Source organism: Homo sapiens, chromosome 1, assembly GCF_000001405.40.
Source record: "Homo sapiens chromosome 1, GRCh38.p14 Primary Assembly".
Lineage (NCBI taxonomy): Eukaryota > Metazoa > Chordata > Mammalia > Primates > Hominidae > Homo > Homo sapiens.
In genome coordinates this window covers 23,174,392-23,188,557 of record NC_000001.11, presented here as the reverse complement: position 1 = coordinate 23,188,557, position 14,166 = coordinate 23,174,392, and the positions used below count along the sequence as shown (strand labels likewise).

Genomic DNA, 14,166 nt, shown 5'->3' with positions numbered 1-14,166 from the left:
GTACCTGGCACACAGCCAGTACTCAAGTAACGATAATAGCAAGTGTCTATTGAGCACTTACTGTGTACCTAGGTACTGCCCTAAGCATTTTATGAGCATTAACTCATTTAACCTGCATGAAGTTGGTCCTATTACTATCCTCCAGATGAGGAACTGGAAGCCCCAAGAAATTAAATACTTTGCCCATTTTCACCTGCTGATAAGTGGTGGGACCAGAATTCAAGACACAGCTGCAGCCCAGAATCCTCACTCTTAACCCCCAGGGGATATGGCCAGGGTCAAAATGGCATGTGGCTTTGAGGAGCAGCATAAAGCAGTGAAGAAAGCACTGATCTGAGAACCAATGAACCTGTCCCAGTTTTTCCACAGTCTTGCTTCATGTCTCTCTGCCTCAGTTTGTTCTGTACAATGTGGGTAATAATAATGTTAACCTCAGGGTGGTTGGGGCCTATGCTCAACTCTGGAGCGTTCAAAACTGGGGGAGGTTATTGAATGAGACTAGGCCACAGTTAGCTTATAAGGAATTAACTAAACACATACACACACACACACACACACACACACACACACAGAAAACACGGTGCAACTATGTAGATCACCAAACAAGCCTGTGAACAAGGTTTGGCCTCTGGGCCACCAGTTGGCAACCTCTGATCCTCCCCATTGATCCTCCCCATGCTGTTGACTAATTTCTGTTCTCCATACAGCAGCTGGGTCCCTCATGGAGCTCACAGTTCCTCTGGGGACCAAAGTGCATGAAACAGATTACAAAGCCAGACAGCCGGTCCTCCACCAAGCCTGTGCCGCACCCCACGCCCTCAGCTCCCTCAGGTGCATTCCAGCCACCTGTCACAGGAAGAGGTGGACTGAGGGGAGGAAGGCAGAAGTGCCCTTTTTACACGGTCACTGGCAAGGATAGATGTGAGTAGTCCTCTGCATCTGAGGGTCTTAAGATAGTGCATTTACCTGCTTCCCTGGCCCCCGTCTATTTTGCTCCCAAGGGAAGGAGTAGGAATTCTAGACCTAGAGGGTATCAGATGGGAGAGGGCCTTCAAGGTCATCCAGGACAATCCCAATCAGATCTCTAACATCAGAGCAGCAGCTTATGCATTATAATTGGTGAAGTGGGAACTACTATTATCCCCATTTTGCAGATGGGTAAACTGAGACTCAGAATGGTTAAGTAATTCACTCAAGGTATTGCTGCAACTAAATAGCAAAGACAGCGGGCATGATAGTTCAAGCCTGTAATCCCAGTACTTTCTGAGGCCTAGGTGGGCGGATTCCTTGAGCTCAGGAGTTTGATACCAGCCTGGGCAACATGGTGAAACCCCATCTCTACAAAAAAACACAAAAACTAGACAGGTTTGGTGGCATGCACCTGTAGTCCCAGCTACTCAGGAGGCTGAGGTGGGAGAATCCCTTGAACCTGAGAGGTTGAAGCTGTAGTGAGCCATGTTCATGCCACTGCACTGTAGCCTGGGTGACAGAGCAATACCCTATCTCAAAAAATAAAACAAAAATAAATAAATAGCAAAGTCAGAATTACATCTAGCAGTATGACCTGAGAGCCAGCATGGCTAGCCATCAGCCTCTACCACCTCCTTGGCAACACTTGTACCAGTTGTTTGAGAGGGTGCTCATCACCTTTCTCTATTTTTTTTTTAAGACAGAGTTTCGCTCTATCGCGAGGCTGCAGTGCCGTGGCACGATCCCGGCTCACTGCAAACTCCGCCTCCTGGGTTCAAGCGATTATTCTGCCTCAGCCTCCTGAATAGCTGGGACCACAGGCATGCGCCACCACACCCAGATAATTTTTTTTTTTTTGTATTTTTAGTAGAGACGGGGTTTCACCATGTTGGCCAGGATGGTCTTGATCTCTTGACCTCGTGATCCGACCGCCTCGGCCTCCCAAAGTGCTGGGATTACAGGCATGAGCCACCGCTCCCTACCCTTTCTGTATTTTTTTAACCATAGCTACACTAACCCAAAACTAGTCAGGTGCCAGGCCTTGCACTTGGCACTTTATTTATTTTTATTATTTATTTTTGAGACAGAGTTCCACTCTTGTTGCCAGGGTGGAGGGCAATGGCGCAATCTCAACTCACTGCAACCTCCACCTCCCGGGTTCAAGCGATTCTCCTGCCTCAGCCTCCTGAGTAACTGGGATTACAGGCACCTGCCGCCATGCCCAGCTAATTTTTGTATTTTTAGTAGGGATGGGCGTTTCACCATACTGGCCAGGCTGGTCTCAAACTCCTGACCTCGTGATCCGCCCACCTCAGCCTCCCAAAGTGCTGGGATTACAGGCATGAGCCACTGTGCCTGGCCCACTCGGCACTTTAAACATGCTTTCTATGATTCCCTCATAACATAAAAAAAAAAAGTCAAATTGAAGATAAACTTAGAACTTGGCCAGGCGTGGTGGCTCATGCCTGTAATCCCAGCACTTTGGGAGGCCTGCATGTTCCTGCATGTTCCATATTATGCCCATTTTATATGTGAGAAAACTGAGGTTCAAAGTCATGAGGGAACTTGCCAAGCTTAAAAGCACATTAGGGACAGACTGAGATCAAATGCATATTTGTTCTTTATTGAGCTCTGACTGAAAGCTTCCCTTGGTTTTGGGGAAAGAAAAATCTGTCTCCCAGAAGTGGCAGCCCCTGGTTCCTAGTTCTCAAAGCCCACGTGCTCTCTTCAGATGTTTGAAGTGGACACATTGCACCCCTTCAGTATTTTATATACCACAGTCAGAGAGTGGCTCCTTCAACTCTTCCCCATAAAATGTGATTTTGAGGTCCCCCCAGCCATCATCTTGTTCATCATCCTATGGATAAGTTATACTTTTTCCATGTTCCAGTCAAAGTTCTGATCCCAAAATGGAACACAGTTCTCTAGACACGGACAGAAGGACTATCATCTCCCTCACTGTACACACAGTGCTTCTATTAATATAGCCCCAAACCCAATAAAGTATCTCCTATGTACAAAGCACTGCCCATGCACTTGGGATAGAGATTGAACAAGCCAGCAACTTCCCTGCCCTCCGGGAGCTTACATTTTGCTCACTGAGCTAAGGGAGGAGGCAGAGTCACTTTAGACATGAATCCTAGAATGTCAGAGCTGGTAGCGCCCAGTCCCCTCCTGCCTCTTTCTTTTTTTGAGAGGGAGTCTCGCTCTGCCACCCAGGGTGAAGTGCAGTGGTGTGATCTCAGCTCACCAAACCTCCACCTCCCAGATTCAAGTGATTCTCCTGCCTCAGCCTGCCGGGTAGCTGGGACTACAGGTGGCTGCCACCACGCCCGGCTAATTTTTGTATTTTTAGTAGAGATGGGGTTTCACCATGTTGGCCAGGCTGGTCTCAAACTCCTGACCTCAGGTGATCCACTTGCCTCAGCCTCCCAAAGTGCTGGGATTACAGGTGTGAGCCACCGCACTCGGCCTCCTGCCTTTTTTATTAACAGATGAGGAAACTGATCCCAGAAGGGGCAGTGACAGACCCAAGATTCTTCAGTGGGACAAAATTCACTTCTGCCTTTCTCATAACCTCAGGCACTGGTGAGACCTGGGGCCTTATAGAGAAATGTGGACTGGGATGAAAAGTTTGCTGTTGAGAATTTTGTTGTTAAGTGGACCCACCCTACACCTCCTTAAAGCTTTCTTCAGAAATCCTAATTTATTTTAGATATGGCCACCAGGTGGCGCAGAGGCACCAGGAAAAAGTGCAGAAATCAAAGGTGGGTGGGCTCCTTCCTCTTCCGATCAATTTTCCTTTGCAAGGGGGAATGGTGAGCGGGGAATAGCAAAGCCAGCCTGGCGCGGTGGCTTGTACCTGTAATTGCAGCACCTTTGGAGGCCGAGGCAGGTGGATCTCTTGAGCTCAGGAGTTTGAGACCAGCCTGGGCAACACGGTGAAACTCCGTCTCTACAAAAAACACAAAAACTAGCTGGGTGTGGTGGTGCATGCCTGTAGTCCCAGCTATTCAGGAGGCTGAGGTGGGAGAATGCCTTAAGCCTGGGAGGTCAAGGCTAGGACAGCATTGTACTGTATACATTATACATATATACATATACATTATACATATACAGAGGTGAATTCTGCCTCAGTCAAGGAGGTAGTATGGAGTAGTGGCTAAGAGCCTGGATGCAGGCATCACACAGACCGGGTGGGAAACCTAGCTTCCTTTTGCTGCAGGGGGAACTCCCTGACACCTAGCTCACGAGGTAGCCTCTGACACTTAGATTTGGGTACAAGATAAGGTCCTCATTTACTGGGGCTCTACACAGAGTTGGAACTGCTGGTGCCCTCTTCCTGACAGGTCCCTTTTCCAGACAGTTGATGGTCAACTCCAGTCCAGCAGAGAAGTTTCTGCAAGAAGGCAGGAAGTCTTTGCTGCCACCCAGAGAAGGTAAGGCTGATGGAATCCAACAGCTTCACAGCCCAGGATATGTGTGAAAGCTCATCCATACTTCTGTTCATTTCATGACACACAGATGTGCAAAGGGTCTGAGGCTGAAAATGGTGAATGATTCAGGGGTGCTGAGAGTCTAGAGTTCGGGGGTGCTGAGAGTCTAGAGTGCCTGAGAAGAAAGAGAGGGTTGGAGAAATAAGCTGGGCCTTGGGGACTTGACCAAGCTATCTACTTTGAACTTTATCCTGGGAGCAACAGGGAGCTATTGAAGATTATTTAGCAAAGGAATGATACAGTTAGACCAGTGTTGAAACCAATCACTCAAGCTGGGTGTAAAAGAAGAAATGGGCCGGGCGTGGTGGCTCACGCCTGTAATCCCAGCACTTTGGGAGGCTGAGGCGGGCAGATCACTTGGGGTCAGGAGTTTGAGACCAGCCTGGCCAACATTTCGAAACCCCATCTCTACTAAAAATATAAAAATTACCTAGGTGTGGTGGCATGCACCTGTAATTGCAGCTACTCAGGAGGCTGAGGCAGGACAATCGCTTGAATCAGGGAGGCAGAACTTGCAGTGAGCCAAGATCATGCCACTGCACTCCAGCCAGGGTGATAGAGCGAGACTTCATCTCAAAAAACAAAAACAAAAACAAGGAATGGAGGTGGGGGAGCCTGGAGGCAGAGTCCAACTAGAAGAGCTGCAGGCTGGAATGGGGTGATTACACTGATAGCTGATTTTTCATCCACTCAGAGCTTCTCATCGGTGAAGGGGCACTCGAGTGAAATTTGTCTGGCTTGCCCAGGAGACAGCTCCCACAGGGTAAGGGGCTGCCCTGGGGCCAGAGAGGAAGAGTGGTTGGTCCCAGCAGCAGGTGTGTCCAGGGAGATCTTCGATATAATCAGACGGCCTGGGAAGAGACAGGTGGCTAATGAAAGAAGCTAGATTCTGGGTCAGGTTGGAGGGCAGAGGCAGTGTGCGATCTAATGGTTAGGAACACATAATGGCACCAGACACATCTTGTTCAGGTCCCAGCTCTGTCTCCTCTTGGCTGTGTGGTTGTGGCCAGGTCACTTTGGCTTGCTTTCTTTTTTCTTTCTTTCTTTCTTTTTTTTTTTTTCAGACAGAGCCTCACTCTTTCGCCCAGGCTGGAGTGCAGTGGTGAGATCTTGGCTCACTGCAACACCCGCCTCCTGGGTTCAAGCAATTCTTGTGCCTCAGCCTCCCGAGTAGCTGGGACTAAAGGTGCATGCCACCACTCCCAGCTAATTTTTGTACGTGTTTTTCAGTAGATACGAGGTTTCGCTATGTTGGCCAGGCTTGTCTCGAACTCCTGACCTTAAGTGATCCACCTGCTTTGGCCTCCCAAAATGCTGGGATTACAGGCGTGAGCCACTGTGCCTGGCCCATGTTGCCTTTCTGAGCCTCAGTTTCCTCATCTGTAAAATGTGATTATGAATAGGGCTCGTGCCTTGAGACTACTGTGGGGGCTGGACGAGGGAATGTGTGTAAAACTCAGCACAGCACTGGGTGCCTAGGAAGCACTCAATAAGGGAAGCTTCAGGTTCTCAGCCCCCATCAAAGACAGTCTGTTGTTGGGGCAGGGTGGTCATTCTGGCTTTGCAGCACGTCTCCAGGCCAGGGTGGCTTCAAAAACTGGCCAGTCTGAGCTGATACCACACTAAGTTACGCCAAGAGAATTCCAGCCAGAAGCAAAGAAATGATGCTTTGGACAGCCCAGGACCACATTCTGGGGGAAATGTGCCATTTCTGTTCCACTTTTTTTTTTTTTTTTTTTTTTTTTGAGACAGAGTCTTGCTCTGTCGCCCAGGCTGGAGTGCAGTGGCTCGATCTCGACTTACTGCAAGCTCCGCCTCCCGGATTCACGCCATTCTCCTGCCTCAGCCTCCCAAGTAGCTGGGACTACAGGCACCCACCACCACGCCTGGCTGATTTTTTGTGTTTTTTTTAGTGGAGACGGAGTTTTGCTGTGTTAGCCAGGATAGTCTCGATCTCCTGACCCCGTGATCCACCCGCCTTGGCCTCCCGAAGTGCTGGGATTACAGACATGAGCCACTTGCGCCTGGCATTTTTTTTTTTTTTTTGAGACGGAATTTAGCTCTGTCGCCAGGCTGGAGTACAGTGGCGCAATTGTAGCTCAGTGCAGCCTCGCCCTTCTAGGCTGAAGCGATCCTCTCACCTCAGCCTTCTGTGCCCGGCTGATTTTTTTATTTTTTGTAGAGACAAGGTCTCACTTTGTTGCCCAGGCTGGTCTCAAACTCCTGAGCTCAAGCAATCCTCCCACCTTATCCTCCCAAAGTGTTGGATTACAAGCATTAACCACTGCACCTGGCCTCTGTTCCAATTTTTGAAACATTAAAAATTATTCTGCTTCTTCCAGGGGTTCTACGTGATATTCTCTGTTTTATTTTGCTAGTTTCCTTTTTATTTTGTGGGTGGTTGTATACTGAAGTCTTCCTATAATACTAGTTATTGTGATAAACGTTTTATGTACATTCTTTTTTTTTCTTTTTCTTTTTTTTTTTGAGACGGAGTTTTGCTTTTGTTGCCCAGGCTGAAGTGCAATGGTGTGATCTCGGCTCACCACAACCTCCACCTCCCAGGTTCAAGCGATTCTCCTGCCTCAGCCTCCCCAGTAGCTGGGATTACAGGCATATGCCACCACGCCTGGCTAATTTTATATATTTAATAGAGACAGAGTTTCTCCATGTTGGTCAGGCTGGTCTTGAACTCCCAATCTCAGGTGATCCACCCGCCTCGGTCTCCCAAAGTGCTGGGATTACAGGCATGAGCCACCGTGCCTGGCCTTATGTACATTCTTTCATGTAATCTTTATAGCAACCCTTTCATGGTGTTTTTGTGTTATTGTTCTCACTGTGTGGATGAAGAAACTGAGGCTTGAAGAAGTTAACAAACGTTCCTGGGTCTGTCTGACACTAACCCCTTTGCCCTTCATTACTACACTTACCTGGCCTGTCAGCAGAAAGGTCCCTAGGGCCTTAGGTTACCCTAGTATCCTGCCCCAGAATTACCCAGTGAGTAGAATACCAAGGTTTGTCTGGACCAAAAATAAGAGAAACAACCTTTGGGAGGCCGAGGCAGGCAGATCACGAGGTTAGGAGTTCAAGACCATCCTGGCCAACATGGTGAAACCCTGTCTCTACCAAAAATACAAAAATTAGCTAGGCATGGTGGCACGTGCCTGTAATCCCAGCTACTCGGGAGACTGAGGCAGAGGAATTGCTTGAACTGGGACCCAGGAGGCAGAGGTTGCAGTGAGCTGAGATCGTGCCACTGCACTCCAGCCTGGGCTACAGAGCAAGACTCTGTCTCAAAAAAAAAAAAAAAAAAAAAAAAAAGAAACAACCATGTGACACGGGGCACAACTCTGTCTGATTGAGGAACCATCCATTGTATTAGGGTCACATGTGTAATACATTCCCTGAGAGTTTAATGCAGGGAAAAATTTGTCTCTCCCAAATCACTGGCCTGATTCTTCCAACCATATCACAGCAATAGCTAATTCTTCTATACGATTTACCATGTAACAGGCCTGTTATGAGAATGAAATATGCAGCTGGGCGCGGTGGCTCATGCCTATAATCGCAGCACTTTGGGAGGCTGAGGCAGGTGAATCACTCGAATCAGGATTTCGAGACCAGCCTGGCCAACATGGTGAAACCCTGTCTCTACTAAAAATACAAAAATTAGCCAGGCGTGGCAGCAGGTGCCTGTAATCCCAGCTACTCAGGAGGCTGAGGCAGGAGAATTACTTGAACCTGGGAGGCAGAGGTTGCAGTGAGCTGAGATTGCACCACTGCACTCCAGCCTGGGCGACAGAGCGAGACTCCACCTCAAAAAACAAAACAAAATGAAAAAAAGAACTAAATATGTCTGAAGTCATTTAATCCTTCCAGGGACCCTAAGAAAGGGGTTTATTATTATATTATCCTGTTTTTCAGAAGAAGCAACAGAAGCACAGAGAAATTAAACAACTACTTAAGGTCGTGTGACTAGTAAGTGGTAGAGTTGGGTTTCAAAACAATGTAATTTGCCTCCAGGGTCTGTGTATTCAATCACATGTTTACTACTTCCTACACAGTTTGTAACTCATCCTGGTTCCCTCTTTGCTTTGACTGCCAGGAAACTCAGAACCATGATTTGTTTGTTCTTCACAGTTACTATCCTTAGAAAACTCAGCCCACCATTTCTACCCTAATTAGTCCGTATTTCATCTTTCTTTCCTTTTTCCCCACTGGCCTTTGAGCCAGGCTTTTATCGCTCCCGAATTCTTGTTCTTTAATTATCAGTCAAATGGTCTCGAGGCTGCAATGAAACTACCTTGAAACCCTTTTTGGAAAACACATTACATAAGACATCAGATGAACAGAGATGGCTTCTGACCAGCTGAGGCAGTTGGACACAGTTGAAGATGTCTTTTGAGCATCTTTCGTGTAACCAGCACTGTGCTCTGTCATGTGGAGGATACAACAGTGAGCCCAAGGTAGTCCCATACTAGTTATGCCAACTGCTATGATAGATAAATCCTGAAATCGCAACGCCTAAATACAATAGAAATTAGTTCAATGTGTGCCCCCCTCAGTCAAGTGATGAGTGAGACCCAGGTTGACTAAGGCTCTGCCCCGTTCAACTTGTAGCTTCCAAGGGCCCCCTGGTGTTGACATCTGATTGGCAGATGAGAGAAAAGAGCTTTGAGCAAGCATACATCCTTCTTCACCACTTTGGCCAGGACATGGCATTCATGTTCTCTGCCCATATCCCACTGGTGAACACGAGTTATGTACCTAATTAGCAAGGAGTGCTGGAAAATGTAGTCTGGCTGCTTTTCTCAGAAACAACTCTACACGTGGAAGGGGAACAGCTTTGATGAACAGCTGACCTTGTCCCAGTTTACGAGGAACTTAAAATTATTGAACCGTCTACCCTTATAGAATGGCTAAGAATACCATGCAATATGTAATGTGGCCACAGGGAGGAAAATGGCCTGGCCTTGTTTACAAGAAACCACGGACAAAAAAAGGAGCATTTAAGGCTGGGCACAGTAGCTCGTGCCTGTAATCCCAGCACTTTTGGAGGCCAAGGTGGGTGGATCACCTGAGGTCAGGAGTTTGAGACCAGCCTGATCAACCAATGAAACCCTGTCTCTACTAAAAATACAAAATTAGTCGGGTGTAGTGGCACACGCCTGTAATCCCAGTTACTTGGGAGGCTGAGGCAGGAGAATCACTTGAACCCGGGAGGCGGAGTTTGCAATGAGCCAAGATCATGCCATTGCACTCCAGCCAGGGCTATAAGGCGAAACTCCGTCTCAAAAAAAAAAAGGAGCATTTACGTTTAAACCAAATCTATTTGTCCAACAAGGGAATGGGATGGGGGTGTGGAGAGGGGGAGAGTTTATCATGATAGTGAGTATTCAGGCAGAGGCTAAGTTTTCACTTGGCTGAAGGCTCTAGAAAGGGTGACGTGACAGATGCCTCCTATCAGTCCTTCTAAGTGTGAACTTCCATGTAAGGTTCCCTTAGTCACCTCTGAGCACTTACTTTGTGTCAAGTTCTCGGTAAGGCTCTGAGGACCCAGAAACAAATGAGACAAGGTCATGGTTACTCAACTGAAGTGCTGAAGCAGGATAGAGAAAGGCTGAGCTCTGGAAACAGGAGGCTGGAGTTTAATTCCTAGCTCTGTTATTTCGTAGCTGTGCATCACTGGAGATGCCACTTGGCCTCTGGTTCTGTTTCCTCATTTATGAACTAGGAACAACAGTTATCTTCATAGATTACAGGAACCCAATGACAAAAAACACCTGGAGTATTTGTAGCACAGTGCCTGGTATGTAGTAAGCATGTTATTTTATTAGTAGTAATATTTTTATGATGACCTTGGATAAGTCACTTCATTTTTCAAAGCCTCAGCTTTCTCATCCATAGGATGGAGTTAACACTGACATCATGGGGTTGGAATCTTGCTGTGTCGTGGGGTCGGGAGCTGCCATTTCGTCTCTCCGCTTCCTCCTGGGATAAGTGGGTCGCATCATGCCCACTTGATCGCGGACGGAAAGCAGCCCCGTTCAGCGCAAAGGAGGAACCTGAATTAACAAGGACGCGATTTCCTGGCTGCGCTCCCGGGGTAGGAGGTTTGCGCTGGGTCCCATCCCCCGGCCGGTCCTGCTCAGGAAACGCGGAGAGAAAGCCAGGAACCAGGCCTGCCAGGCCCTGCGGCCCCTCAGCGCCGTCCCTCCTCCCCGGCCCTCGGCTGCAGGAAGCCGGCTGGCGGGAACGCCCTGCCTGGTGGGTGGGAAAGGCCGAGAGCGCGCCCGGCACCGGCGGCTTCCCAGGCCCGCGGCCGGCTGGCGGCGCGGAGCTGTCACTGCGGCAAACGGCGAACGCGCCGGCCCCCTCCCCCGCCGCCCGCAAGCCTGGTGCAGTCGGCCCATGAGTATTTCATGAAGTGCCGCAGCCGGATTCATGGCTCACTGGCGCAGGAGGGGAGAGAGGCTGAGTCCTGTCAAGCGCCAGCGCCCCACCCGTCACGGAGCGCACGCCGCGGGGGCCAGGCTGGGGAGGGAAGGGTGTCCAGCCCTCTCTTTTGGGTGGTGAGATGCTGAGGCCTGAGGGTTTCTAGGTGAGTGTTCAAGGTCATGGCTAGTAAACGGCAGGGCCAGGATGCAACTCGGGGTCTGTTTCATCCTAAAGTTTGTGCCTCGGGTCTGTGGTTCTGCTCCAGGTTTTTGGGGTGTTTGGGGGGCGGGGGTTACGTTCTTGCCGCACCTCAAGAACCAGAGTTCTGTACCCTGGGGCTACCGATGTCCTCTCAGAGGTCTGTGAACCCCTTGTAATTGTGTAACATGTTGTGTGTGTTGCATTTTTCTTCGAAGTTTCAAAGGCGTCAGTGATCCAACAAGGGTTAAGAATTATAGCCCTCTGCAGGGCATGGTGGCTCATGCCTGTAATCCCACCACTTTGGGAGGCCGAGGTGGGAGGATCGCTTGATTCCAGGAGTTTGAGACCAGCCTGGGAAACATAGTGAGACCCCCCCCCCATCATCCTTACAGAAAATTTAAAAATTAACTGGACGTGGTGGCACACGCTTCTAGTCCCAGCTACTGTGGAGGCTGAGACAGGAGGATTGCTTGAGCCCAGGAGTTTGAGACTGTGGTGAGGGGTGATTGTGTCACTGCACTGCAGCCTGGGTGACAGAGGCCAGACCCTGTCTCAAAAAACAAAAAACAAAAAACCCCCCAAAATTATAGCTCTCCAAGTCTGCTTTGAGGACCCCAGCTTCATGAGAGGTTGAGGTTCCTCTATGTCTATAGCCTCTTGAGAATATTTCTGCAAAGCCCCAGCTGTTACTCTGTAGCAACTTGGGGGCCTCTACAGGATCCCAGATCTTTCTACTGGATCTTGAGACTCTTTCTATAGGGTCTTGAGATCTCTCTGGGGATTTGAGCTGTTTATGGGGTCCTGGTGTCTCTTTCTGAGGTTCTGACATCTCACTATAAGGTCGGATGGTCCTCCATGGAATGAATTCTAAACCTGGGCCTCAGAATGCCTATGAACTCCCTGAAATTGTATGCAAGATTTTGTGGGTCTGTCTGTATACATGGAATTCTGGAGACAGGTTTCATGGATTTCACTAGATTCTTAAAAGAATCTGTGATCCCCCAAAAGCTGGGAAAAAATATTGCTTTAGAGCATTCATTTGGACAGGTCTTACTCCTTTCTCGTCAATAAAAGTCAAGGAAGTAGGGGGCTGGGCTATGGTGGGTCACACCTGTAATCCCAGCACTTTTGGGGAGGCTGAGGTGGGCAGATCATTTGAGGTCAAGAGTTCAATACCAGCCTGGCCAACATGGTGAAACCCCGTCTCTACTAAAAATACAAAAATTAACTGGGTGTGGTGGCGCACGCCTATAATCCCAGCTACTCGGGAGGCTGAGGCAGGAAAATCACTTGAACCCAGGAGGTGGTGGTTGCAGTGAGCCCAGATCATACCACTGCACTCCAGCCTGGGCGACAGAGCAAGACTCCATCTAAAAAAAAAAAAAAAAAAGTCAAGGAAGTAAAAGGTGGAGGAAATAAAAGACAGATAAGAGACAGTGTTTTCTAGTAGAGTATGGGCTTTGTACTCAGGCATTCCTGGGTTAAAATCCCAATTTTGCCACTTACCAGCTGTGTGACCTTGAGCATGTTCCTTACCCTCTCTGAGGCTCCATGCCACCTCTTCTAGGAAGCCTTCTCTGGCTCCTCAATTCAGTTAGGTCCCCACCCTGCATTCCCCCAATCCCTCCTGGCATATCACCTGATTCTTTGCAGCACTTAATGGAATTGTTATTAAGTAATTGTGTTTAATGTTGTCCTGTTTCTCCACTCCTCCAGTCCAGGAAACTTGGGACTTTTGCTGTATTACAGTCTGTGTAGTGCCTGGCACATGTTAGGCACTCAGCCATTTCTTATGAAATGCATAAAAATGTAAAGGAATGGAGGGATGCAGGCCAGACACTGTACTAGGGACAGAAAGGGATCAGAAATTAATAAGCATCATTCCTGTCGTCGAGGAAGTCCCAGGCTGGAGGGAGAAATAAGATGCATGAGAGGAAGACTGTCCTAATTGCGCTAATGGGGGATGAACACTAATGGAGGCAAACACTAGGGGGGAAAGCACCAAAAGGTCCAAAGACGAGTGAGACCTAGTCCCTGAAGAGCTGAGATGCCTTTCCTTTGTATTATGTGTTACGATTTACAAAGCACTTAGCTTACATGAAATAGGTGGGTATACACTTACTCTGCAGAGGTGGGAAAACTGCTGCTGAGAAGAGTTCAATGACTTGCCCAAAGCCACCCAGCCAATAATGGCTGCCTGAGTGCATAGCTTATTTGCTTTGGAATACAGTCCATTTCCTCCTGGACTTGGGCTTTGATGTTGCACATGTCTTGGTTTAGATCCTACTAGATGTGTGACCAGTAAGTGACTTTCCCTGTCTGAGCCTTGTTTTCCCAGTCTGCAAGATAGCAATAATGACCCCCTATAACCTTTAAGAGATAGTATATGCAATATACTAGCAATAATGACCCCTATAACCTTTAAGAGGTAGTATATGTAAAGTACCCAGCATGATTCTTGGTTCAGAATAAAGGATCTATAAATGTTTGTGGAATGAATGAATGAATGAATGAATGAATGAAATGCATGTAGTAACGGTTGCCCTGAAACATGAGGGAGGAAAGGAATAGAGGGAACTTAAAATCATGCCATTTTGGGGATGATAGGAGAATTGAGGGCTATTTTATTCCTTCCTATTCTGACTTTCTATGATTCTTGGCAGACTTTGCACTGGCCTCAATCATACTGGGTAATCATTTGTTGTTTGCAAACCAGCAAAAGTGAGCCAACTCCAGCTTGGTTAGCTTTCTTTTTATGTATATCTTTATTGCCTTTTTTTCTGATGACACAGTAATACTTCTACATGTAAAAAATTAAATTGCAGAAAGATATAATGAGTGAAAGTGAAAGTGCAAGTTTAGACATGGTAGACACAAGGTGCTGACATATTGTGATTCTTTGGAAGGTGTGGAGGGGGCATAGGACAGTGTGATGGTGAATTTTATGTGTCAATTTGACTGGGCTAAGGGATGCCCAGATAGCTGGTAAAACATTATCTCTGAGTATTTCCAGGAGATATTAATATTTGAATTGGTAGATTGAGTAGAGAAAATTGCCTCC

The 14,166-nt window shown here is 47.9% G+C and overlaps 1 protein-coding gene across 6 annotated transcripts in view, besides 2 other annotated features; it reads left to right on the top strand.

Annotated features, from left to right (window-relative positions):
- The window catches only part of LUZP1 (leucine zipper protein 1), a 94,481-nt gene continuing 90,750 nt past the window's right edge, over positions 10,436-14,166 (top strand). For 4 of the 6 annotated variants that reach the window (NM_001395461.1, XM_047429989.1, NM_001142546.4 and 1 more), the window contains exon 1: positions 10,869-11,067. The gene's annotated coding sequence lies outside the window, so the exon portion shown is untranslated. Of the gene's footprint in view, positions 10,573-10,868; positions 11,068-14,166 lie in introns of those variants that run through there. The other 2 variants (XM_047429992.1, XM_047429993.1) reach the window with 1 other exon arrangement.
- Positions 10,550-10,779: a silencer, noted in NCBI's record as "silent region_408". NCBI's record gives its function as "represses an Ori minimal core promoter by ATAC-STARR-seq in GM12878 lymphoblastoid cells {active_cell/tissue: GM12878}" and the evidence as "EXISTENCE:reporter gene assay evidence [ECO:0000049][PMID:35858748]".
- Positions 10,870-10,969: a silencer, noted in NCBI's record as "silent region_407". NCBI's record gives its function as "represses an Ori minimal core promoter by ATAC-STARR-seq in GM12878 lymphoblastoid cells {active_cell/tissue: GM12878}" and the evidence as "EXISTENCE:reporter gene assay evidence [ECO:0000049][PMID:35858748]".